Source organism: Homo sapiens, chromosome 5 (genome assembly GCF_000001405.40).
Source record: "Homo sapiens chromosome 5, GRCh38.p14 Primary Assembly".
Lineage (NCBI taxonomy): Eukaryota > Metazoa > Chordata > Mammalia > Primates > Hominidae > Homo > Homo sapiens.
In genome coordinates, this window is record NC_000005.10 from 129,995,011 (window position 1) to 130,022,669 (window position 27,659).

The 27,659-nt window shown below is 37.1% G+C and overlaps 1 protein-coding gene across 6 annotated transcripts in view; it reads left to right on the plus strand.

The window, feature by feature from the left end:
- The window catches only part of CHSY3 (chondroitin sulfate synthase 3), a 282,656-nt gene that overhangs the window by 91,032 nt on the left and 163,965 nt on the right, over nt 1–27,659 (plus strand). The window contains exon 3 of one of the 6 annotated variants that reach the window (XM_005271983.5): nt 6,390–16,349. The exons of the other annotated variants lie outside the window; for them this stretch is intronic. Coding sequence (XP_005272040.1) covers nt 6,390–6,395 — 6 coding nt within the window. The 3' untranslated portion in view covers nt 6,396–16,349. Of the gene's footprint in view, nt 1–6,389; nt 16,350–27,659 lie in introns of those variants that run through there. 6 annotated transcript variants of the gene reach the window in all.

Below are 27,659 nucleotides of genomic sequence, written 5' to 3' on the forward strand. Positions count from 1 at the left end.
ACATTGTGCACATGTAACCTAAAACTTAAAGTATAAAAAAAAATTTAGACTTTCACCAGCAGTGTATGAGAGTTAGATGCTCAATCCTTGCCAAAACTTTTATATTAAAGTTTTATCCACCCTAGTGATGTGTAGAGGTCTCCCATTATGGTTTTAATTTATATTTCTTTGATTATTGTTATTAAACATAGTTTTATGTTTATTAGCCATGTGTATATCCTTTTTGTAAAATGCCTGCTCAAGTCTTTTTGACCATTTTATACAAATGATGTATTTTTCTTATTGATTTGTAGGAGGTCCTCATATTTTCTGGGTATGAGATCTTTATTGGATAGATGTATTGCAGATATCTTCACCTACCCTGGGGTTGGCCTCTGCACATCCATAAGCATGTCCTTTGATGAACAGAAGGTCTTAGTTTTAATAAAGTCTAATTCGTCGATTAAAAAAAAGAATGATGTGATTCCAAACCATCTGTGTACTTTTTTTTTCTTTTCTTTTCTTTTTTTTTTTTCTGAGACAGAGTCTCACTCTGTTGCCCAGGCTGGAGTGCAGTGGCTGTGTACTTTTAAGAAAAGTAGTGCGCATGTATTAAGGTTCTTCGTTCCTTCCTTCTCTTCTTCCCTTCTCTCTTTCTCCCTCTCCCATGTTGGAGCCAACATTCTAATTCTAGTCATTAGTTCTGACTCCAACAACTACACTGTTATCCACTATACTCTGTTTTTTAAGAATGATCTGGTTCCAAACCATCTGTATACCTTAAACAAAAAAGTAATACACAGGCTTTAAGATTATTCTTTCCTTACTTATCTTCTTCCCTGTGTCTTCTTTCTCTCTGTTTCTCCCTTTCCCTCTCCCAACTCCCACCTATCTCCAATCTCCCATCTTTATCTGTCTCTACCATTTCCATCTCCCATTTTCCATCTCTCTCTTCCTCTCCCTCTCTCTCTCTGTCTCTCTCCACCTTTCAATTTCTAGATATAGAGCATAGGGCTTAGAACCAAAAAGATATTATTTCAAAGCCTGGTTCTGTCATTTGCCAACGATCTTATTTTTGTTATGAAGTTAGTGAATGTCCCTAAGACTCAGTTTTTCCATCTTAAAAATGGGGTAATAATACACTTGTCAGAGTGATTTTTGTTTAAATTATTTTGTGTCTGGGAAGTGCCTAACAACAGCAGCTGTTATTATGAGGAAATTTTGTTATTATTACTTTAGGTCACCTTGGAACCTCACTTTTAATGCTGCTGTCATCTGTACACCCAGCCAGTACAGCCTGATTGCATTGTGGTCCCTTTAGTGCTTATGGAATAGCTTGCTTATAAGAACTTTTACAGGACTGTATTCATACACCAAATGTGAGTGTCTCAAAAAATGGCACAAGAAGCCCAGTGGGACATGGTGGCATTTGTGCCTCTCAGAACCCTGAAGTTATTTGTATGTGTTGTTTTTACATCATCCAGCAGCATTTTAATATGTTGTAGGACTTAATGCCATAAACAGTTTCTGTTTTTCAACAAATGTACTGGATTTCTTGATTTGGTTTCTTAGTTCATTGTCAGAAGTAACTTGTTTTAAAAATGCACAGCAAAGTTCTGTATTGATGAATATCATAAGTTTTGTGTGCTCTAGTTTTTGAGGACAAGGCCTTCTAAATCAGGCTGAGTGCTTCAAAGGAGATCTTATTATCTTTATGACAAACATGTAGCAATTCTGAGGTCTGCCATCCTCAATACATAGTCACACACACATACACACACACACTCCTACATCATTTGCATTATTTTTGTTTCTTTATAATAGCATTTATCATATTTGTAACAACCTAATTTAATTCTTGCTAATTGTGTATCTTTCCCATCATACTCTTAATAAAAGAAGATATATTATTTCACTTCTTTTCAGTTTCATTAGTGCAAAACACAATTCCTGAATTTATACAAATTTTTTTGAACCAATGAATGAATCCATATAAAGACCAGTGTTTTGTTCATAACTATGCCTTCTGTCAATACTTGGTTGTTTCTTCCTCATTTTTGGATTAACTTTGCAGAAACTTCTGATGATGAAGTCTACCAAAGTGCATATTTCTCAGATGATTCAAAGCATTTAAAAAAAAAAAAAAACTCTAGCTCTTCTGTTTCATTCTTGAGGATGACTTTTTTAAACAAATTAAGTAAAACCAGGTTAGGTCATTTTCTGCACTTTGTCAAAGCCAATATATGACAATATATGCCATATACATGACCAATATGACACCCACCTCTTTTTCTCTCAGACAATAAAGTTATATCAGCAATGCTACCAAGTGTTTAACCTTTTTTTAACCTCATTTTTTAATTTAAAAAGCTATGCAAGCATATAGTTTTTAAAAATCAAAAATCACAGTGCAATGACATGTAAGTCCCCATGCCAACTCAGATCCTTTGGCTTCAAGACTAGAAATAATCAATAACTTAATTGATAGTAATTTAACAGTAAAATATTTAGAAACATTTCACTCTTTTTTTTTAATACTTTAAGTTCTAGGGTACATGTGCACAATGCGCAGGTTTGTTACATAGATATACATGTGCCATGTTGGTTTGCTGCACCCATCAACTCATTATTTACATTAGGTATTTCTTCTAATGCTATCCCTCCCTCAGCCTCCCACCCCCCAACAGGCCCCAGTGTGTGATGTTTCCCGCCCTGTGTCCAAGTGTTCTCATTGTTCAATTCCCATCTATGAGTGAGAACATGCGGTGTTTGATTTTCTGTCCTTGTAATAGTTTGCTGAGAATGATGGTTTCCAGCTTCATCCATGTCCCCGCAAAGGACATGAACTTACCCTTTTTCTTATGGCTGCATAGTATTCCATGGTGTATATGTGCCACATTTTCTTAATCCAGTCTATCGTTGATGGACATTTGGGTTGGTTCCAAGTCTTTGCTATTGTGAATAGTGCTGCAATAAACATACGTGTGCATGTGTCTTTATGGTAGCATGATTTATTATTCTTTGGGAATATACCCAGTAATGCGATTGCTGGGTCAAATGGTATTTCTAGTTCTAGATCCTTGAGGAATCACCACACTGTCTTCCACAATGGTTGAACTAATTTACACTCCCACCAACAGTGTAAAAGCATTCCTATTTCTCCACATCCTCTCCAGCATCTGTTGAGAAACATTTCACTTTTATGCTAGCCTATATGTATGTGTATAGTTAAATGAATTCTGTGCTCACTGTTAATAACACTTCGGTTATTTTTCCCCACTTAAAAGTAGGTATCTTTAAGATCCTTGTTCATTAGTATATGAGGAACTAATTTTATTAAAATTGCTGCATACTGTTTCACTGTAAGGATATAAATCCCTAAATGTAGTGATTAATCTACTGATGAGCATTAAGATTGTTTTGTGTTTTGATATTTAAAAGCAATGCTACAATAATTATTATGGTAAATAATTTTTATACATACATTTATATATCTATAGGACAAATTCTTAAAGTAAAATGTTGGATAAAGGGTTTATGCTTTGTAAGTGAAAATACATCTTGCCAAATTTTCATATAGGTTGATTGCTCAAATTTATACTACTGAGAAGAGTCTATGAAGAATATTGTTTATGAAAAATCTTTTTGATTTTGTCAATCTGATTATTAAAAAAGCCAGTCCTTTTTAAATTGTTTTTGCAGGTTTTTTGACTAAGTAAAAGGCTTAAGATCTTTCAAATCTATGTATTTTTTTTTGCCCAGTTTTCTTTTATGTTTTTGATTTTTCTTACTGATTTGTAGGAATATCTCATTCAGTACAGAAATTTGCTCTCTTTGTGCCATATGTTGCAAAATTCTTTTTTAGGTTAGTTGTTTGGGCTTTTTCTTTTAACTTTACCATGTTTTTTATGCAGAATTTTTAAAATGCAGGCATAGTTATTACTCTTTTCTATTAACCCTTTTTAAGGCTTCTGTGTTATTTGACATACAGAAAGGATTTCCTACTCCAAGATTAGGTTAAATATTGTACCATTTTATTCTAAAATATTACAAGTTTTTAAAAATGTTTAAAACCCTGATCCATCTGGAATTATTTTTTTGGAAGAGTGAAATACAGATCTAGCTCCCCCCTCCCTTTTTTTTTTTTTGTTTCCTGTGTGGCTAGCTATTTGTCCCAACACTAATTGTTGAATAATGTATCTTTTTTTCTATACGTTGAGATGGTATCTTTATCCTATACATAATTTCTATATACATATACACCCAACCTTTTGTGAAAATTGAATGGAAAAAATGAAGAGACTGTTATGATTGAAAACAATATTATTTCATTGTTCCTTTTTATTTGCAGTTATGCAGAAGAGGCTCAGAGAGGACTATGCCAATTAAAATATCTAAAAACTTTCCATCATATACTATCATGATAGTGTGTATTACAGTAAGAACTGAGATCCTAGAGAAGATCTAGGCAATGATAATGGCAGTGGTGGAGTATTCCATCCTAAGAAATGCAATGATTACACTAGAAAAGAAGGTCCATGAACACTCTCCAGCAATGTTGAGAGGGTGCTGAATTTTATCTTCCAAGTTTCCGCATTATCAGACCCTTCTTTTCCCTATAGTCTCATTTTGTCCTATTCTCTTCCTCATTCAGATTGCTCCAGCTACCCTGGAATTATTTCAGTTTCCTGAACACACCATGCTTTCCTTCCTTTGGGAATTTATTCCTCTAGTTTGAGTAATTTCCCTTACTTACTTAGAAGAATTTGCTTTAAAACAAAATTTAAACTCTACCATATATCTACATAATATTTTAATTTAAATATTAGGTAGCTGCAAGATAATGTGACAAAATAAAAATGTTATAAAGTGGATACCTTTGTGACAACATCTAGGTTAAGAATTAGGATACCACAGGCATACTAGAAACCCCCTATTCTTCCTTTCTGATTCCATCCCATTTATCTTCCCTCAGAAATAACCATTGTCTTTGAGAAAGCTAAAATCTCCTGCTTATTAAGAAACTTGTGATAAATTTCAGCATATCTCAGAAACAGCTAACTTTGAACAGTGGTAAAAAGTATTTTTTATGAGGAGTATTACCATATTTAAAGAACTCAAACTTCTTAGATGAATAGACAGTTTTCAAAGATAATGATTATGGATAACATATGTTTTATTTTCTGTGCTTTTTATGAAAGATAGGGACATGCTAAGCATGCTTTTCCTTCTCTAAGTTAAAAATCATCGTAGGATTTTAGTGTAACGTTTTGAAAGGCTGCACTATAAAAATAACACTTTGTAGCAGGTACAAATAATAAGGTAGAATGAGGGTGCATAATTTTTATTTGACTGTTAGTAGTGGAAGAGTTGATCATTAGAATTATATCTGATTTTAAATTTCAAGTCAGTACACATTTAAACTTTATAAAAAATATCTACTTCATGGTTGAAAAGATTCTTCTAACATGGGTCTATATTCATACATACTATGTCTCTTGCCGATTTACGATTTTGTGTTCTTTCTCTCTAACTCCAGAGGTTGATGATTATTTTACAGACTGTAGTAGAAGCTAGGTATATTGTTGCCTTCTTTCACCCACTTTTTTTTTTTTTTCTGTCACCCAGGCTGGAGTGCAGTGGCACAATCATGCTTCACTGCATCCTGGGCCTCCTGGCCTCAAGCCATCCTCTCACCTGAGCTCCCCGAGTAGCTGGGACTACAAATGTGTAACTTTTCTTCTTTTTTTTTTTTTTTTTTTTTTTTTTGTAGAGATGAAATCTTGCTACGTTACCCAGGCTGGTCTGAACTCCTGGGCTTAAGTCATATTCCAGCCTTGACCTCCCAAAGTGCTGGGATTACAGGCTAGGGCACAGCACCAGCCAGCCTGTCTTCTTTTTTTTTTTTTTTTTCTCCAAGACAGAGTCTCGCTCTGTCACCCAGGCTGAATTGTGCAGTGGAGCAATCTCCACTCACTGCAACCTCAGCCTGCAGGGTTCAAACGATTCTCCTGCCTCAGCCTCCCGAGTAGCTGAGTGGTGGCACACGCCTGGTTAACTTTTTGTATTTTTAGTAGACATGGGGATTCACTGTCTTAGCCAGGCTGGTCTTTATCTCTTGACCTCCTGATCTGCCCGCCTCGACCTCCCAAAGTGCTGGAAAACAAGCATGAGCCACCACGCCTGGCCCTGCCTTCTTTTTTATGTGCCTACTCAGTAATTTAGGCAAAGGGCTCCACCTCTCAGTGCTCAGGTTACCTGGAGGTTGAATTTATACTCAAGGGAAAGAAAAGATTATCTGAGAAACAGTCATGATTCATGATGCAAAAAGTTTTAGAATTAGGGGCTTGGTGGAATTCTTTCATTTTAAAATTCTTCTTCCTCCTACTCTTCTTCTCCTTTTCCTCCAGAGTTAGTAGGCTGCTGAAGAAATTACCAGATGATGAAGGTATCACCATGGACACAGTAGGCTTTGCTCCTTTGTGCCTGTGGCAGAGACTGGTACCAAGATCTAGTGAAGGGCCTGGGATGAGAACCAAGATACGCAGGACCCCATGGAGAGTCCCTCCTGTCCTTGCCTTTATTCCAAAAGAATAGTACTACATGAGCATTCTGTGAGAATTTATGTGTTGTTGCTTCTAGTTAAGGAGTAGGATAATATGTAGAGAGTAATTTATAAGCCTGCGTCTTGACTATTCACAATTATTTCATAAAAATAAGTAACATTATTTTTTAAAGATCTCTATGCTCATAAAAATTGGCATCCCTTATTCTGAACATGCCCTCGCTGATAGTTTCCTGTATATCTAGATTATGGGAATACAAATATCTATTTTCCTGTAACTGACATTCAGAAATTTAACCCACTAATATAATCCTGTGTGTAACCAAAAGGTAATGGTGGAAGCTGAAACAGTCACTTAAAATTCTGGCTAGTTCCTTTAAGATGTTAATTAATATGTCAGCCAATCCTTATATTGGCTACAATAAGCCAATGCTTATAGTAACTTAGAGCTACTCTCTAAGTCCTTTTTCTGTGTTCTTTTTTTTAACTCACTACTTTAGCAGTAGAAGATGAAATTCTGTTGCCTATAAACAAAGGTGGTGCTTGGTGGCCTTCTTCTGTGTCTCTGTGTGTTGTCCCTTGAGAGAATCATTCAGGTTTCCACCTTGTATGCCATAGGGCTCAGGACAAGTTCTATGAAGCCTATATAGTTAAGGAATAGGTTTTATTGGGAAAACCTGCATAGCCCAGGATCAAAAAAGAAGAGAAGGCATGGCTGCCTCGGATCCTCCCATCATCCTGTAGAAGACCATGTCCTGGCTAGAGTGCTTCCGGCCCAGGCTGATTTGTGCCAGGCAGCCTGTGTTTAGGATGCCAGCTGTTTAAAAGCCTTTTCTGGATGTGCCCCAGTTGCGCAGCACTTGGAGGCCTTATAATCCATGGGATATTACAGTTCCCTCTGCAGATGAGAGGGAGCCACAGGAAGCTGAGCTTGCATGGTCCCTCCTGCTAAGATACAAGGCAGCCCCCATCCTGGCTAGCTTATTGTCCAGGAAACCACAGTACTCAGTCATTTTTCAGGCAGTCCTGATGCTAGTGCTACAATGTAGGAGCCACCAAGAGCAAATGAGATCCTAAAGAGACATAGAAGCTAGAGACATAAATATTTTCTAAATGGATAACTATTTGAGATGATGTCTATATTAATTTGTTCCACTATAGTAAACATTTTATCATATATGCATCTTATAACATCATGTTGTATACCTTAAATATACACAATAAATATTATTTTAAAAAAATAATTAACAGGTATTAAGCTTGATTTTTTTCCCTTTTTGGGAGGGGCTGGAGGGGGTGGGTAGCTTATTTTAAATCACATAGCCACACTTCTAACCCAACTGTAATTCCAAATGACTTTACATGTGTTCTTGTTTCTTTGTTTTTGAATTACTATTTCTGTTTGTGTTTTAAAAACATTTCCTGTGTTCAGTCCTAGTTTCTTTGGGTTGCTTTGCACATGAATGTTATCAGGACTTCTCAGATGACTTTCCTACTCAAACTGATTTGTTCTAAGCTGTCCTTCAACAGCTGCAGATCAGATATGACTGTTGTCCTGTTTTTGATGTTGGCGATAGTGTTGTTGCTAATTAATTTGTGAGGACTCGGCTGGAATATCCATGATAGCCGAGTATCCATGATACCATAATGTGGTAGGAAGCATTATTATTCAGGTAATGAGTTTTTCATGAGGTACAATGCCATGTTGTAATGGAATTTGCTGGTATGTAAAAAGGGTATTTAACATCTTTGTCTTCTTTTGATGGACAGAAGGCTGTTAAAGGAGCAATAGTTTTAGTTCCCTTTGGGGTTTATTATGGTCAGAGTGATCTTTCAGACTTGGATCTGATACAACCTAAATGGTGAACTAATTTGAAAATAAAAAATATCATAAGCCTTGTTGTAGGGACCTTGAATTGGCTCAAGTTAGGCTCAGTGAAAGGCCGTGCTGTGTTCTTCCCAAGCACAATTGTAATTGGGAGAGGATTCCATTTGTATTCTGTCTTTAGCATGAGCCACATGTTCATGTACTCTGAAGGCAAGACAAAGAGGGGTTACCAGATAGGACAAAGCAACATTTACTTAATTAAAAAAAATAAGAAAGCAGAACAGAAAAATAATCCCAATGAATAAGAAGAGAGGGATTTTAAAGTTCCTCTATAGGCAATTTGAGACCCTGTGGTCTATCTAGTTTTCTCGAAATTTTCTGTTATGAGGGCATTGAAGTATATGACTGCCAAGTTGGTTTAAGCACCTTGAACATGTCAATGGTTAATTTGATGTACACAAAACCTGTTTGTGCCTCATATTTTTTGGGAAAAATCCAACCCTTGTGATGTCATGAATCAGCGTTTATCATGTATTTTGAATTGTTCTCAATATTTCATTTAACAGATATTTATTTAAAAATTGGTTTGACAGGATATGCATTTTTTGGTTTCGTATTTTTCCTTTGAGAACTTTATTTATTTAAAATCTCTGGAAAATGTTCTGAAACATTCAAGGCCATTGATAAATTAGATATATTTCAGGGTTTATGTGATCTTTAAACTTGCTTTAAAATATTCACATTTTAATTCTTAAAATTTATTCAGACTATAACTCTTGAAAAGCTAAAATGCAGAAAGGAAGTTGTTTCTCATTTGTTTTTGTATCTTCCATATAGTGGCCATTCAACCTACTTTTCTTAAATGATATTCTTTTCTTAACTGAACCACGCAACATAAAGTTGACTGCTGAGTGGCAAATAATGAATAATGCAATGTCTTTCTTTAAATAAGCTTGTGTTTTTCAACGTTTACAATTTTTATATATTTGAGTATAAGTGATATATTTCTGTTACTTTGAAATTTTTAAACCATCTAGAATTAGAAATATTGATTGGAACTTTGTCTTTATTAATCATGACTTAAAGTAAAAAGTATGTAAATGCATAGAAGCAATAGTTACCCATTTATTTGCCTGTTTGTCCTGTTTGTATTTGTTGATAGTATCTACTAAATGAGGAAAGAGAAAAGGTGATGCAAAAATGTAAGACTCGATTTTGGTAATAATTAGGATAGCCCAAATTAATCTAGTTTTAAAAATTGATATTTAGGGGTTGAGTTGGCTCTGAATTATTTGCAGGTTTCTAATAAAAGATTATTTTAAAACAAATGTTCACAAGTGAATGAAATATTGTTTAAGAGACTGGATAAAAAATAATATTTACAAGACTGGAAAATAATGAGATAGGTCATGAGTAGACCTGTCACTTTAAAATTATATTTATGCATATTTTCATTTATTTTTCTTCTCACCAAATATGATTATAATCTCAATATTATTTTGGATGCTGCAATTTTTGTTATATAAATAACTTTATATCATTATATCAAATAAAGTGATGAACTAAGTGAATATTATTCAAACATTTTCCAAAGCTGATAGTTTGTAAGTATGCTTAAAAGTATATCATTTGAGGATCCTATTTCAGTAACACATATTTAAACTCAATATATTAAAGTTTTTCGAGATACTATAAAGTTTAGTTTGGCCAAAAAACCTATTATCATTTAGATAAGAAATCAGCTAATCAGCTGAGATTTTTAAAAGTACCTTCTTTAAAATTCCAGCACTTTGGGAGGCTGAGGCAGGCAGATCATGAGGTCAGGAGATCGAGACCATCCTGGCCAACATGGTGAAACCCCGTCTCTAGTAAAAATACAAAAATTAGCTGGGCATGGTGGCATGAGCCTGTAGTCCCAGCTACTCGGGAGGCTGAGGCAGGAGAATCGCTTGAACCCGGGAGGCAGAGGTTGCAGTGAGCCGAGATTGCGCCACTGCACTCCAGCCTGGTGACAGAGTGAGACTCTGTGAAAAACAAGACGAAACAACAAAAAAAAAAACACGTTATAATATTATTGTGTAAAATAAGTTATTTTTAAAAATTCACTCTCTTAGTATGCATTGCTAAACATGACTCAATACAATACTGAGTTTCAGCTTAAGTTTATTTTAATAGTCTGAAGATATTGTGATGTTTTAAAAACTCATGATATTTAAGAATAACTTGTTTCTTTTTAGTTGCATTTTAAATCTGTGGGTGATTCCAGTAGGATGTCAAATTAAAGTACTTGAATAAGATGATTACAATCTTTATTTTTTATATTCGAATCTGCAGTGAGGCAATAATGAATACCTTCTGTCCTAAGCACACTGATACTCTAAATTGCAAATTTTGAATGTCATTCTGTCTGAAATATTTAATTGAAAGAGGAATGTAATTGACATATAATTTCCAAATAAGTTTTGTTTGGCTATATAATACATTAATTCATGCCTTTGTTCTTTTTAATTTATCTTCATTATGCTATCAATAAGAAATGTTTATTGCTTCTGTTTAAAGTATTACTACAGATAATGGGAATCCTGGAGGCATAAGATATAGAACTTAGTCTACTGGGCAAATTGTGCATGAAAAGATAAACCCATGGAAGCCCATACTAATTTGTGTCAAATTAATAATGCATGTCCCAAAATTAAATAAGCATTGCAGAAAATAGAAGGGTATTTGGGTCACTGGGGTCTGAGAGTAGTCAATGAACTTCACATTCTTGGATTATACTTGCATAGAACCTTGTTTCAACAAAAACAAGGAGGAACATTTTCCAAGCAGTAGGAATCTGGGTAAAGTTGTGGCGTTAGGAATTTGCCTGGAATGGTTAGAATGGCCTGCAATGTTAGGACATAGTAAGATGCAAACCTGGTGTGAGAGAGGATAGACTATGTAGTGTGGCACTAGGAGATGAGGATGAAGAAGTGTCAGGCTAAAGTGTTTGTATTATGTAGCTCATGAATGTCTTTAAGCTGTGAGCGACAAGTTCCAAAGAACCAGCTGTGTCAGATAATCAGAGGGTGAGCTCTGTGATGATCTGGGTTGAGGTAATATGTTTCAAAATGCCTTATAAAATAAGAGTTTATGCTACATATTTTGATTGGTGAAACTCAGAATATATAAACTATTAATAAAATTTTGTATTTTCTGAATGCAATATTGGATTACTCAAGGAGCAGAGGAAGCATAGGAATAACACATCAGCAAAAGTGGTTACCCTCAACAATATTTTGTGAAATAATATGATATTTTTAAGAAAGGTATCAAAGTAGTCACAAATGGAAGCATCAGAGCTATATCATTTTTAAAATTTAATACATTTATTTTCAGTTGCATATAGGAAGGGGATATATTTTCAGTGCTTGGGTCCTCTAAAAAATTTATCTAATCCCATATAGATACAATCTTTAATGAAAGGGCTCCTAGCCTACAATGTGCTAGATGACTAAGAAAATCAGTTGACTTTCTGAAGAAACTAGATATTGGTGTCTGTCAGACATTATGCCACACTACCTCGGAATCTTGTTAAAATGCAGATTCTGATTTCAGTTGCTCTGAAGTGGAGCCAGAGATTGTACATTTCTAAAAAGCACTTAGGTGATATTCATGATGTTAATCCTTGGACCACACATTGAGTAATACAATGAAATTTTCAACAAGTTAGTCTCTTAATGTACATAAACAAAATATTATACCATGTTGTTATGTGTTGGTTTATACTCAAAGTACTGTTCTAAGATTCTATCCAATATTTTTAAAAAGTGAAGGATTTAACATCCTCTTACACATTTTTATGTTGTTTTGTCACTGCTGTGAATTATAAAAAGTTTTAAAAGATACTGTCACTGCTGTCAAGAAATTTCTATTTAACTCCCTTCAAGATGGCTAACTAGACACAGACAGGAAGAGTTTCTCCCACTGAGAGGCCGGACCATCAAAAAGATGCACAATCCAAGCAGATCTTCTGAAGGAAGTAATAGAGAATGGAAGGAGGAAGGACTCAGATCCTGGGTTGAAGGGGGAGGGAGCAGAGAACCCTGCATGTGGTTATTTAGTAGCAAGACCCATTCTTGGTCCTGTGTGCTTCCTGGAGAAGGGGTGAGTTAAATAGGCATGGTTTGTGGCCCACATTTGCCACAGACCTCCAGAATCCTAGCAGCAGGAGACCCCATGACCCCTGTGGACATTTAGGCTGGGAGAGATTGCTGCTTGGAGAGTTTGCAGGGTCACGACTCAGTATTATGAAGCCCAGAGAGTTTGGTGTGGGAACTGCTACAGTGGAGTATTGCCAGTTACACTCACGCCTCAAGACTCGCCAAATTCCTCTGGGTGGCTTTGGTCTTTGTTGACTGTTGGTTCTGTTCAGAACAGGGCTATCTTGCCCATGGGATTGGGCCAATCTAATCTGAATACCCCCTTGTCTGCCAGCCTCTCTCAGTGTCCCTGTCTGGCCACACCCTCTTGCAGCACAGCCTCAGATGTTCATATGGGGCACATCTTAAAAGCCACTACCATAGCTTTTTTACTGACAGACCTTGGCTAACCATCAGAGATATTTTGCAGATGGGCCCCAGCCAGTGTGTAACCACATGCAGCCTCCCCCACACCACTTTGCCAGCATGCGTTCATCTGCAGCATCGCCCACCAGTTTGCCAGCATTTGCAGACCCTGCTGCTGTACCCCCACTGGAGCATGTGTATGTGTGGACCCTGCTGCTATGCCAGCGCTGGTGCACATACATGTACATGGACTCAACTGCCACCACTCTGACAAAGCACTGTTGCTGCCCACCCCCCATACCCCCCATTGGAGTGTTGTTGCCAGCAGACTGGGGACACATTGGCCCCTCCAGTGATAGCAGGTCAGAGAACAAAGCCATGGGTCTAGTCCCAGCACCTAGGGTTAGAGCATGCAGACCAAGAGTGCTAAACTGAGCCTTGGCCCCCTGAAATCATTGAGAAATGAAGCCAGTTGATGGAACCCAACTTATACCATAGTCAAAGGGTCAAAATAATCAAAAAATATAAAAGCAAAAAGCTTCATCCAAAGGACAGCAACATCAAAGATTAAAGGAACATCAGCCTAACAGATGGAAAAGAACTAGCACAGGAATCCTGGCAACTCTAAAAGCCAGTGTCCTCTTCCTCCAAACAACCCACTAGCTCCCCAGCAATGGTTCATAATCAGACTGAAATGGCTGAAATGACAGATATAGAATTCAGAATCTGGATGGCAATGAAGATCATTGAAATTCAGGAGAAAGTTGAAACCCAATCCCAGGAATCTACTGAAATGATTTAAATGCTGAGAGATGAAATAGCCATTTTAAGAAAGAACCAAACTGATCTAATAGAGGTGAAAAACTCACTACAAGAAATTCATTCTATATTCGAAGTATTCACAGCAGAGCAGAGGTAAGGTGAGGTAAAAATCTCAGAGCTTGAAGATTAATTCTGTGAATCAACTCAGTCAGACAAAAATAAAGAAAAAAGAATTTTAAAAAAGGAAGAAAACTTCCAGAAAATATGGGATTATGTAAAGAGACAAAACCTATGACTCATTGGCATCCCTTAAGGAGAGGGAGAGAGAGAAAGCAATGTGAAAAACATTTGAGGTTATTATCCACAAAATTTTCACAACTTAACTAGAGAGGTCAACATTCAAATTCAGTAAATTCAGAGAATCCTTGCAAAATCGTATACAAGATGACCATCCCCAAAACACATCATCGTCGTATTCTTCAAGGACAATACATGCAAAAGAAAAGATATTTAAGACACTAGAAAGAAGGGGCAAATCACTTACAAAGTGAACCCAATCAGGCTAAGAGAGGACCTTTCAGCAGAAATTCTATAAGCCAGAAGAGATTGGGAGCCTATATTCAGCATCGCTAAAGAAAAAAAATTCCAACCAAGAATTTCATATCCAGCCAAACTAAGCTTCCTAAACGAAGGAAAAATATAATCCTTTTCAGACAACCAAATGCTAAGAGAATTCATTACCACTAGACCTGCCTTTGAAGAGGTCCTTAAAGGAGTGCTAGACATGAAATCAAAAGACATTACTGGCCACCAAAAAAAAAAAGAAGAAAGAAAGAAAAAAGTAAAACCACTCATTTAATTACATGGGTTATTGATACTATAAAGCAACTACACAGTCAAGTCTAAACAACCAGCTAACATGATGACAGGATCAAATACACATATATCAATATTAACCTTGAATGTACATGGGCTGAACACCCCATTTAAAAGGCACAGAGTGGCAAGTTGGATAATGAAGTAAGACCCAAATGTATGCTGTCCTCAAGAGAACCATCTCCCATGCAGTGACACCCATAGGCTCAAAGTAAAGGGATAGAGAAAAATCCATCAAGAAAACAGAAAACATGAGGAAAGGTAGCTGTTCTAATTTCAGACAAAACAGATTTCAAACCAACCACCATCAAGAAGCACAAAGAGGGTTATTACATAATGATAAAGGGTTCAATTCAAAAAGAAGACTTACCTATCCTAAATATATGTACACCCAACACTGGAGCACCCAGATCATAAAACAAGTAATTAGAGACCAATTAAGAGACTTCTATAACCACACAATAATAGTATGAAACTGTAACACCCCACTGACAGTATTAGACAGAATATCAAGGCAGAAAACCAGCAAAGATATTTGGGACCTAAACTTGACACTTGACCAAATGTGCCTAACATCCACAGAACATTCCATCCAACAAAAAGAGAATATATATTCTTCTCATATGCACATGGCACATACACTAAGATCAACCACACACTCAACCATAAAGCAATTCTCAACAAATTATAAAAACCAAAATTATACCAGCCATACTCTTGGACCACAGTGCAACAAAATTATAACTCAATTACAAGAAGATCTCTGAAAAAACTTACAATTACATGGAAATTAAACAACCTGTTCCTGAAGGACTTTTGGCCAAACATGACATTAAGGCATAAATCAATAAATTCTTTGAAACTAATGCAAACAGGGATACAATACACCAGAATCTCTGTGACACAGCTAACACAGTGTTAAGAGGAAAGGTGATAGCACTAAGTGCACATTAAAAAGTTAGAAAGAGCTTAAGTTAACAGCTAAGAGCTAACATCACACCTAAAGGAATTAAAGAAACAAGAGCAAACAAAGCCCAAAGCTGGCAGAAGAAAATAAATAACCAAACTTAGAGCTGAACAGAGTGAAATGGAGTATTGAAAAGTATTATAAAAAATCAACAAAACCAAAAGTGATGATTTGAAGAATATATAAGATTGATAGACCACTAGGTAGACAAATAAAATGAGATGGTTCAAATAAACACAATCAGAAATGACAGGGGACATTACCACCAACCCACAGAAACACACACAAAAAAATAGAGAGTATTATGAACAACTCTAAGCACACATAGTAGAAAACCTAGGAAAAAATGGATAAATTCCTGGAAACATGCAACCTCCCAAGATAGAACTAGAAAGAAATTAAAACCCGAAAAGACCAATAATGAATTCCAAAATTGAATCAGTAACAAAACACCTACCAACAACAAAAAGCCCTGATCCAGACAAATTCACAGCCAAATTCTATTAGATGTATAAATAAGAGCTATTACCAATCCTTCTGAAACTATTCCATTGACTTGAGAAAGCAGGACCCTTCCTAACTCATGCTCTGAAGCCAGTATCACTATGATAGCAAAACCTTGCAGAAACCAAACAAAAAAAGAAAATTTCAGGCCAGTATCTCTGATGGGCCTAGATGCAGAAGTGCTCAACAAATACAAGCTAACCAAATCCAGCAGCACACCAAAAAGCTAATCTACCATGATCAGGTAGGTTTTATTTGTGAGATGCATGGTTAGTTGAACATATGCAAATCAATAAATGTGATTCATCACATAAACGGAACTAAAAACAAACACCACGTGGTCATCCCAATAGATGCTGAAAAGTCTTTCAATAAAATTCAACATTCCTTCATGTTAAAAACCCTCAGCAAACTAGTCATCAATGGTACATACCTCAAAATAATAAGAGTCACCTATTACAAACCAACAGCCAACATCATACTGAATGGGCAAAACCTGGAAGCATTCCTTTGAGAACTGGAACAAGGCGAAGATGACTGCTCTGACCACTCCTATTCAACATAGTAATGGAAGTCCTAGCCAGAGCAATCAAGCAAAAGAAAGAAATAAAAGGCATCCAAATAGGAAGATAGGAAATCAAACTATCTCTATTATGTGATTTTGTACTTAGAAAATGCCATGGTCTCTGCCCAAAGGCTCCTAGATCTGATAAACAACTTCAGCAAAGTCTCAGGATACAAAAGCAATGTATATAAATCAGTGTTTCTATACACAAATAACATTCAAGCTGAGAGCTAAATCAAGAAGACAATCCCATTCACAATAGCCACAAAAAGAAGAAGATGCCTGAGAATACAGCTAACCAAGGAGGTGAAAGATTTCTAAACAAGAATTACAAAACACTGTCCAAAGAAATCAGAAATGACACAAATAAATGGAAAAACATCCCATGCTCATGAATAGGAAGAATCAATGGCCGTACTCCACACAGCAATTTAAAGTTTCAATGCTCTTTGTACCAACTACCCATGACATTTTTCAAAGAAACAGAAAAAAATATTTTAAAATTCATGTGGATCCAAAGAAGAGCCTGAGTAATCAAAGCAATCATAAGCAAACAGAACAAAGCCAGAGGCATAACACTGCCAGGAGTCAAACTACAAATGCTGCCGTAAGCAAAACAGCGTGGTACTGATACAAAAATAGACACATAGACCACTGGGACAGGTTAAATAACCCACAAATAAAGCTGCACACCTACAAGCATCAGATCTTATACAAAGCCAACAAAAACAAGCACAAGGGAGAGGACTGCTTATTCTATACATAATACTGGGTAGCTGGTTAGCCATTTGCTGATGACTGGAAATGTACTCCTTCCTTTCACCATTGTTTTAGTCCATTCTCATGCTACTGTGACTTAGACTAGGTAATTTATAAAGAAAAGAGGTTTAATTGATTCACAGTTCCACATGGCTAGGGAGACCTCAGGAAACTTACAATCATGGTGGAAGGCACCTCTTCACAGGGCAGCATGAGAGAGAATGAGTGCCAGCTGGGGAAATTCCAGATGCTTATAATCCATCCAATCTCATAAGAACTCATTTGCTATCATGAGAACACCATGGGGGAACTGCCCCCACAAACTAATCACTTCCCACAAGATTCCTCGTGTGACACAGGAGGATTATGGGAACTGTAATTCAAGATGAGATTTGGGTGGGGGCACAGCCAAACCATATCATTTTGCTCCTGGCCCCTCACAAATCTCATGTCCTCACGTTTCAAAACACCCAAGTCATGCCTTCCCAAAAGTCCCCCAAAAAGTCTTAACTCATTCTAGCATTAACTCAAAAGTCCAACTTCAAAGTCTCGTCTGAGACAAGGCAAGTCCCTTCTACCTATGAGCCTGTAAAATCAAAAGCAAGTTTGTTACATCCTAGATACAATGAGGGTACAGGCATTGGGTAAATGCACCCATTCCAAATTAGAGAAATTGGCAAAAACAAAGGGGCTACTGGACCCATGCAAGTCTGAAATCCAACAGGCCAGTTATTAAACCTTAGAGTTCTAAAATGATTTCCTTTAACTCCATGTCTCACTATTGCAAGAGGTGGGCTCCCATGGTCTTGGAGACCTCCACCTTTGTGGCTTTGCAGGGTACAGCCCCCCTCCTGGCTGCTTTCACAGGCTGGCATTGAGTGTCCCTGGCTTTCACAGGCACATGGTGTAAGCTGTTGGTGGATCTACCATTCTGGAGTTTGGAGGACAATGGCCCTCTTCTCACAGCTCCACCAGGCAATGCCCTAGTGGAGACTCTGTCTGGGGGCTCCAACCCCACATTTCCCTTCTACACTTGCCCCAGCAGAGATTCTCCATGAGGGCTCTGCCCGTGCAGCAAGCTTCTGCCTGGATATCCAGGCATTTCCATACATCCTCTGAAATCTAAGTGGAGGTTCCCCAACCACAGTTCTTGACTTCTTTGTACCCTCAGACCCAACACCACGTGGAGGCTGCCAAGGCTTGAGGCTTGCACACTCTGAAACAATGGCCCCAGCTGTACCTTGGTCCCTTTTAGCTGGAGCAGCTGGAGCTAAAGCAGCTGGGATGCAGGGCACCATGTCCTGAGGCTGCAAAGAGCAGAGGGGCCCTTGACCTAGCCCATGAAATCCTTTTCCTTCCCAGGCCTCCAGGCCTGCAATGGGAGGGTTGCGATTAAGTCTCTGACATGCCCTGGAGATGTTTTCCCCATTGTCTTGGTGATTAATATTTGGTGCCTTGTTACTTATGCAAATTTCTGCAGCCAGTTTTAATTTCTACCCAGAAAATGGGGTTTTCTTTTTTATCGCATCATCAGGCGGAAAATTTTCCAAACTGCTATGCTCTGCTTCCTCTTGAATGCTTTGCAGTTAGAAATTTCTTCCAGCAGATACCCTAAATCATCTCTTTCAAGTTTAAAGTTCCACATATCCCTAAAGCACTGCACAATGCCACCAGTCTCTTTGCTAAAGCATAGCGAGAGTCACCTTTGCTCCATTTCCCAAGAAGTTTCTCATCTCCATCTGAGAACACCTCAACTTCTACCTCATTGTCCATATCACTATCAGCATTTTGGTCAAAGCCATTCAAAAAGTGTCTAGGAAGTTCCAACTGTCCCACATTTTTCTGTCTTCTTCTGAGCCCTCTAAACTGTTCCAATGCCTGCTTGTTACCCAGTTCTAAAGTCACTTCCACATTTTCAGGTATCTTTACAGCAGCACCCACTCCTGGTACCAATTTACTGTATTAGTCCATTTTCATGCTGCTATGAAGAAATACCCAAAAGTGGGTAATTTATAAAGAAAAGAGGTTTAATTGACTCACAGTTTCACATGGCTAGGGAGACCTCAGTAAACTTACAATCATGGTGGAAGGCACCTCTTCACAGGACAGCAGGAGAGAGAATGAGTGCCAGGCCAGATGGGGAAATGCTAGACACTCATAACCATCAGATCTTGTGAGAACTCACTCACTATCATGAGAACAGCATGGGGGAATCTCCTTGACAATCTAATTACCTCCCATGAGGTCCCTCCAATGACATGTGGGGATTATGAGAACTACAATTCAAGATGAGATTTGGGTTGGGGCAAAGCCAGACCATATCAACCATATATAAAAATTAACTCAAGAGGGATTAAAGATGTAAATGAAAGACCTAAAGCTTTAAAAATCCTAGAAAAAATTCCAGGAAATACTATTCTGAACATCAGCCCCAGCAAAAATTTCATGACAAAGACTCCCAGAGCAATTACAACAAAACCAAAAATTGACAAGTGGGACCTAATTAAACTAAAGAGCTTTTGCACTGCAAAAGAAACTATCAACAGAGCAAACAGACATCCTACAGAACGGGAGAAAATAATTTGCAAACCATACATCTGACAAAGGTCAAATATCTATAATATATAAGGAACTGATATGGTTTGGCTCTGTACTCAAATCTCATGTTGAATTGTAATTCCCACTGTTAGAGGAGGAACCTGGTAGGAGGTGATTGGATCATGGCGGTGGATTTCCCCCTTGTTTTTCTCATGATAGTGAGTTTTTCTCATGAGATCTGATGGTTTAAAAGTGTGTGGCACTTCCCCCTTCACTTTCTGTCTCTCCTGCTGTCATATAAAGATATGCTGGCTTCCCCTTCACCTTTTGCCATGACTAAAAGTTTCCTGAGGCCTCTCAGCCATGCCTCCCATACAGCCTGTGGAACTGTGAGTGAATTAAACTTATTTTCTTTATAAATTACCCAGTATCAGGTATATCTTCACAGCAGTGTGAGAATGGACTAATACAGGAACTTAAACAAATTAACAAGCTAAAAAAAACCTCATAAAAAATGGGCAAAGGACATGAACAGACACTTCACAAAAGAAGACATACACAGGGTCAACAAACATATGAAAAAAAATGTTCAGCGTCACTGATCATTAGGGAAATGCAAATCAAAACCGCATTGAATTTTGCTCTGACATGAGTCAGAATGCCTATTATTAAAAAGCCAAAAATTAAGGGATGCTGGTGAGATTGTGGAGAAAGGGGAAGACTTACACAGTGCTGGAGGGAATGTAAATTAGTTCAGTCACTGTGGAAAGAATTTTAAAGATTCTTGAAAGATCTTAGAACTATGATTCAACCCATCAATCCCATTACTGGGTATATACCCAAAGGAATAGAAATCATTCTACTGTAAAGATACATGCCCCTGAATGTTCATCTCTGCACTAGTCACCACAGCAAAGACATAGACTCAACCTTGGTGCCCATTAACGGTGGATTGAATAAAGAAAATGTGGTATATATACTCCACGGAATACTACACAGCCATAAAAATGAATGAAATCATGTCCTTGACAGCAGCATGGATGCAGCTGGCGGCCATTATCTTAAGTGAATTAATGCAGGAACAGAAAATCAAATACCACATATTCTCACTTATAAATACAAGCTAAACATTTAGGACATATTGACACAGAGAAGGGAAAAATTGACAACCTGAGCCTACTTGAAGGTGGAAGGAAGGATGGTAAGGATTGAAAAACTGCCTGTTGTGTACTATGGTCTCTACCTGGTGATGGAGTAATTTTACACCAAACCCCAATGTCACACAATTCACCCATGTAACAAATCTGCATATGTATAAAATTTGGAAGAAACAAAAGAAAAAATAATTTTCCACTTAAAAGGGGAGAGAAGACACATAATTGGGGATATAAGGCTATCCATATTGTATGTAGACAGTGTCTGGAGTGAACAGATAAAGTAATATAACAGGGCTGATGATTTTGTCCATCATTTTCAAATAACATCATTATTAGTAGTAGTATTTTATTTTATTTTATTATTATTTTTTGAGACGAAGTCTCGCTCTTGTCCCTCAGGCTGGAGTGCAGTGGCACGATCTCAGCTCAGTGCAACCTGAGCTTCCAGGGTTCAAGTGATTCTACTGCCTCAGCCTCCCAAGTAGCTGAGATTACAGGTGCCCGGGATTACAGCTAATTTTTTTGTATTTTTAGTAGAGGTTGGGTTTCCCCATGTTGGCCAGGCTGGTCTCGAACTCCTGACCTCAGGTGATCTGCCGCCTTGGCCTCCCGAAGTGCTGGGATCACAGGCGTGAGCCACCGTGCCTGGCCAATTAGTGGTATTATTAATCAAGGAAAGGATAGTCCCTAAAATGTCTGAAGTATAGAGATCATATTACGTATTAATTAGGCATGCGACTATGCTAGGTGTGTTATATTAGATCTAGAATTCCAGCTTGGATTTTGTTTAGTGGCAATGGACCCCACCACTTTAAAGCCTTTTGAGATAGTAGAGGAGAGTGGGAAGGTACTGCTAGAGAGAGGATGATCAACCGACACATTAGGAAAATGGGTCTTGATAGGGGTATGGTATAGGTAATACTGGTGAGAGTCTGAAGATAGTTGGGTTTTTGAGGAGACTGCTGTAAACATCCAGCCATGAGATAAGGACCAGGAAGAATGCAAAGCCGTGGGAATTGAAAGACACTGATACAAGACTGATTTATGAAGGTTCTACTTTTTAAAATTAGTTTCTTTATAGTGGTTTGAAGTGCTTGGACGAAGAGGATACTGCCGGCAGTTGTTTTTTTTTTCCATTTGTTTGCATATTTTATATTCATGCTATGCAGGTGTGGAAGTTCGAGTGTATGGTTAGTGTTCAGGTTGCTGCCAGTCTCAGATATTCTAGAGTTTAGCAGCTGCATGGTGATTGGAATCCTGCTGCTTTTTCCTCACTCCGAACTTGAGATCCCCTGTCAAACTAGTCTCTTCATTGCCCCAGGCTTTCTCAAATCTTCCCACTGCCTCTCCAGTAGGTTTTTAACAGTTTGCAAGCACTGGTGTGGTGGTGGGATGGAGGGGTCTGGGGTAGGGAAGGCTGGGGTAGCGTACTTTCTAATCCTGATGGAAGTGAAAGGTAATGAAAGAGAAAAAGCTACTTGATCTCCCGAGAAGTTCTTATTTTCCTGTTTTCTTCAATATGAAAATTTGACAGGCTTTTAAAAAAATCTCTTTTTGAGGAAATCTCACTCCATATTCCCTGCTCTTAAGTGATGTTTACATTTATTTATTTTATTATTTTCTTTAGACCAGTTGAATATTAACATACTGAAGTAAAATTTTTTAAATGTCCTACTAACAATCTTTTGTTGCAATATATAAAGTTAATAAAATATAGCTTTTAAAAACATTTAACTAAAACATCATGGAGATATTAAGCAGTGGATTTAACATAACTCCAGAAAGCAAGAAAAACAGCTTTGTTTGCATTTTCTTTTATATCTTGAGATGAGAAAACCAACCATAATCCTCTAGAAACCTCTTTGAACAAGGACCCTACTTTTGAGAGAATGAGGTTAACAGACGCGTAATTCCTTTGTAGTAACTGTTCGGTTTCTGTGCCCACTGTCTGGTAATCTGATGTGGATCTTGCTACTGAAGAGAATCAAAGTAGGTTGTAGAGGTACGTCTTTAGGTTCTTTTGTTTTTTAACAGACAAATTGCTCCTTACTCAACTATTTTGTTTTTCTCTTTAAAGAGAGAATGTGATTTCACATTCTTATTTGTAAAAAATAAATCTTATTTTCTACAAAAAAGTTAATCTTATTTTTTACAAAAAAAGTCCTATTTTTTACAAATAAGATTTTAAATCTTATTGTTTAAATCTTCTTTCACTATCTTAGTGAAATATAGTAAGTCTTTATTTGTCAAATAAATTGCAGTGCCTCTTGCCCAGATACACACCTCCTGATGTTATAACAAGTATCCAGAAATATAATTGTTTAAATTACAATCACCCCTGCATCTCCAGCTATTTAACGCACTTCATGAATAACTTTGAAATGGTCCTAGTAACTAAGACAATAAATACTTTTTTAGTTCTCTGCTTCTGTCTCTACCTATGCTTTGCCAATACTGCTGTGGCTTTTATGCTTCTACATATTTTCTCATTACAAAGAATTTTGTCATGGTTATATTAGGTCAAACACATTTCTAGGACTTTTGCTATTTATCAAATGGTTTTATATATCTTAACCATAGGTCAGCCTTGTCGATGTATTGTGGCTTTATCCTAATTCATCACTGCTATGGTTTAGATATGGTTTGTTTGTCCGCACCAAATCTTACGTTGAAATTTGATCCCTAGTGTGGTGATGTTTGGAGATGTTGCCTGGTGGGAGGTTGTTTGGGTGATGGGGGCAGACCCCTCATGAATGGCTCAGTGCCCTTCTAGGTCAGTGAGTTCTCACCCTTATTACTGGCTCAGTTCTCGAGTGCATGGATTCATTTCCTTGAGAGGGGGTTGCTATAAAGCCAGGATGCCCTCAGGCTTGATCCCTCTGTGCATGTGTGCCCGCTTCCCCTCGGACCATCTCTGCCGTGTTTTGATGCCGCCCAAAGACCCTCACCAGAAACCAAGCAGATGCTGACACCATGTTTCTTGTACAGCCTGCAGAACCATGGGCTAAATTAAACCCTTTATTAACTACCCAGTCTCAGGTATTTCTTTATAGCAACACAAAACAGACTAAAACAATTGTGTAGAAAAAAATTTTTTTTTCTAAAATGCATTGTATTCTCACTTAAATAACTAATTTTACACATGCTTGTTTGAAGAATAATTGCTTGCATGATTACCATCAATATGGTAATATTATTAGACCTTAATATAAATTTTAAAACAACTAATTTTCCATTCTCTTTCTTTTCCATACTCTTCTCATGTATTCTTTATCTCTGTGAATGGCAACATCAGGTACTCCATCACCCAGCCCAGAAACCTGGGCAATTATCTTTTGCTTCCCGATACTCATACAGTCCCCCAACACCCCACCACCACCACCAATTATTTATGTGGTTGATCTTATATCCTTAATATCACTTGGTCCCATCACTAACTTCCTGTGTCACCACTTGGTCCCCTCTTCCTTAGTTCAAGTCTGTATCCCTTCTCCCTTAGATCACTGCATTTCCCACCTAATTAGTCTGCTATGTTTAGTCTCTCTGGTTTTTAAGCAGGCTTACCCCTCAAAATAACAACCTCGTTTATCTTTCCCTGGTAGAATGTCTCTTAGTTTTTACAACTACAATTTCATAGGTGCTTCACTTGATGTTTGTATCAGAAAATTTTATAAATTTCTTATTCAGTGTAGCTGCATCAGTTTGAGCAACGACTAAAGGTTTTTGCATCTCTCATGTCACTAACGCTATGAGAGGCCCTTTTACTTTTCACAAAACTATGTGGTTTAGCAATCATATTGTTTGATCAGTAAATTAGAGCTTGTAGATATTTTAGATAAGCTTTAGGAAAATGTTAGGGATTTGCATTGATTTATTTTGCATTATAATTATTTACACTTAAAATAATGGGAGATAAGCCCCAATTAGCTTTGTACTGAGGAATATTAGAACATCTTACTTTCATGAGTTATTGACATTTAGAGTGAGACTCATATACTTTCTCTACAATGTTGCCTGTGAGATCTTGCTAAAATATAAATTCAACCCTCCTATTTCTCAGGTTAAATTTTTTTCTCTGGGCCAGGTGCAGTGGCTCACGCCGGTAGTCCCAGCACTTTGGGAGGGTAAAGTGGGTGCATCACTCGAGGTCAGGAGTTAGAGACCAGCCTGGACAACATGGTGAAACCCTGTCTCTACTAAAAATACAAAAAAAATTAGCAGGGTGTGGTGGCTGGTGCCTGTAGTCCAGCTACTCGGGAGGCTGAGGCAGGAGAATTGCTGGAACCTGGGGGGCAGAGGTTGTAGTGAGCTGAGATCGTGCCACTGCACTCCAACCTGGGCAACAAAGCAAGACTTCATCTCAAAATATATATATATATATATATATATATATATATATATATATTTTTTTTTTTTTTTTTTCCTCTGGCTCCTCCACATCCTTTTGATTAAAGTTTAAACTCTCTGTTGCTTGAAGAAAGCTTTCTATACCTCTCCTTGACTTTTCACACTGCCCCTTCAAAGCAGTCTTTCTCCGTTCAGGACCATGTGTATCTGAATCACCTGAGATGCATATTAAAAATGTGAGTTCCCAGACAATTTCCCAGACATTCAGAATCAGAGGTTCTGGGAGTCTAGCCTAGGAATCTTCACCCACTGCATAAGTTATTGGTCAGGACACTCACCTAAGCAATAACTTATGAAGTGTGTATGTAATTCCTCTAAGAAATCTATTGCCTCTTCTCCTGTCCCCTACTCAGTCTGTCGAGATGCTTCAAATCTGGGCTCATGCTTGTCCTTGTGCATGTCTTGATCTAACCCCTTCCACACCATAGTATTTTCAGTTATTTACGTGTTTTTTTCTTCTCAACTCTTTGGTATATTCTTAAGAGAAGGAGCCATGTTTTATTCAGTGTTGTGTCCTCCGTAATTGGTGTAGCAAATGTCCAAGTACATTTGCCTGACCAATAAATGGGTGAAAGACATCTGCCAAGATGGTAAAAATTGGAGATGGGACCTCTGTTTATTTGATGTTATATTACCAATATTTATGTAGCATCTTCTCTCATATTTTTTATCATATACTTAAGATGATGGGTTTGGTCACCAGAATCTTGTCCTGATTCACAATCCCAATATGCATATATCAGCATTATTTACAAAGTCTTAGCTAATGGGCCATGGTTAATATTGCACTAAGAAACATTTGCTTGTGCCTACACTTTTTATTTTACTGCCCTTACTACCACCACTAGTAACATGCCCCAAATAGTAATAATACCTAACCAGCATATTGGAGAGTTTTTGGATTACTATTATTTTCATTTATAATGGAATTCCTGTTTTCACTGAATCAATACAGCCTGATCTTTTCTTCATATCCTACCAAATATGAGGAGAGAATAAATAGAAAATAAAAAAGAATTGTTTTTCTTGTCAGTTTCCATGGCAATGGAGCTTTCTATTTGTTTAACCAGTAAAGAATGTTCACACAACCTGTTTTTCTTTTTTTTCCCCCGTCTCACACTCTCTCACACACACATACATATATACAAACATCATAAAAGTTTATTCTGTCAAATCTAGCCAAAACTATAATATGTTTTAATGCTTTTTCTACTTTAGTTAATTTGTCTTACCCAGTGCTATTTTACTTATAATAAAAAGATAAACACTATGTAAATTCGCATGTGTGATAAATATTTAGAAAATGTGAGAGGAGCAAATATGTGATATTTTCAAAATATACTACAGCTCTCAGGGTTATGAAGACTTTCACTTTGCTAATTGGGGTTTCAATAAAATTAAAAAGGAGATAGTCATCATTTCTATTGTTTACGCATTGTCTTGCCAATATATGTAATTATGTGCCATCTATTGGAAAGATCCATACGTAGTCAGATCCATGGAGTACAGGACTAATTAACTGAAATCATTATTCTTTATTTGTATGAATGAATTAGGTCATTTGCTGGGAAGGTAGATTAAATTTCTTCTGTGTTCTGAAAGGCCGACATTGCTTTTTGAAATACCCTCCAGGGAGGGCTGGATGAATTCGACAATTTGATTTACAGTATTAATGTAGAAAATAATTTAATTCTATACCCAGGGGATTAATGAATATCTATTTCCACCTATACTAGCTTGTTATTCTCAGTAATTAGGGTTTACCATGGCAATTATTGAACTTTAATTTTCATGTGTTTGTGAGTCACACTATTCTGTAGCATAGTTACGTTGTTAGCATATATTAGCATTAACTACATGATGTTAGTAAGTAGTCATGACTAAGTATTGTACTAAGAAACTCCTTTGGTTTCTATACATAACATTACATTTGGATTGCTGCTGTTAATACCACCACTAATAATGTGCCTAAAATAGTGAATAGTAAATAGTAAATTATATATATGGTTGCATTTGATCTTAGCAAAGTTAAAAGTATCTAGATAAGTCTTTGAGAGTAGTACCAATTCTATTTATTCTGTCAATGACATCTTGCCTTCTTTTTGTGACCCTGTTTGATCAACTGTAACTTATAATTTATTTTTAAAAATACATTTTTGACCAGGGAGTGAAATGATAAACTTAATAAATGACAATATCATCAGA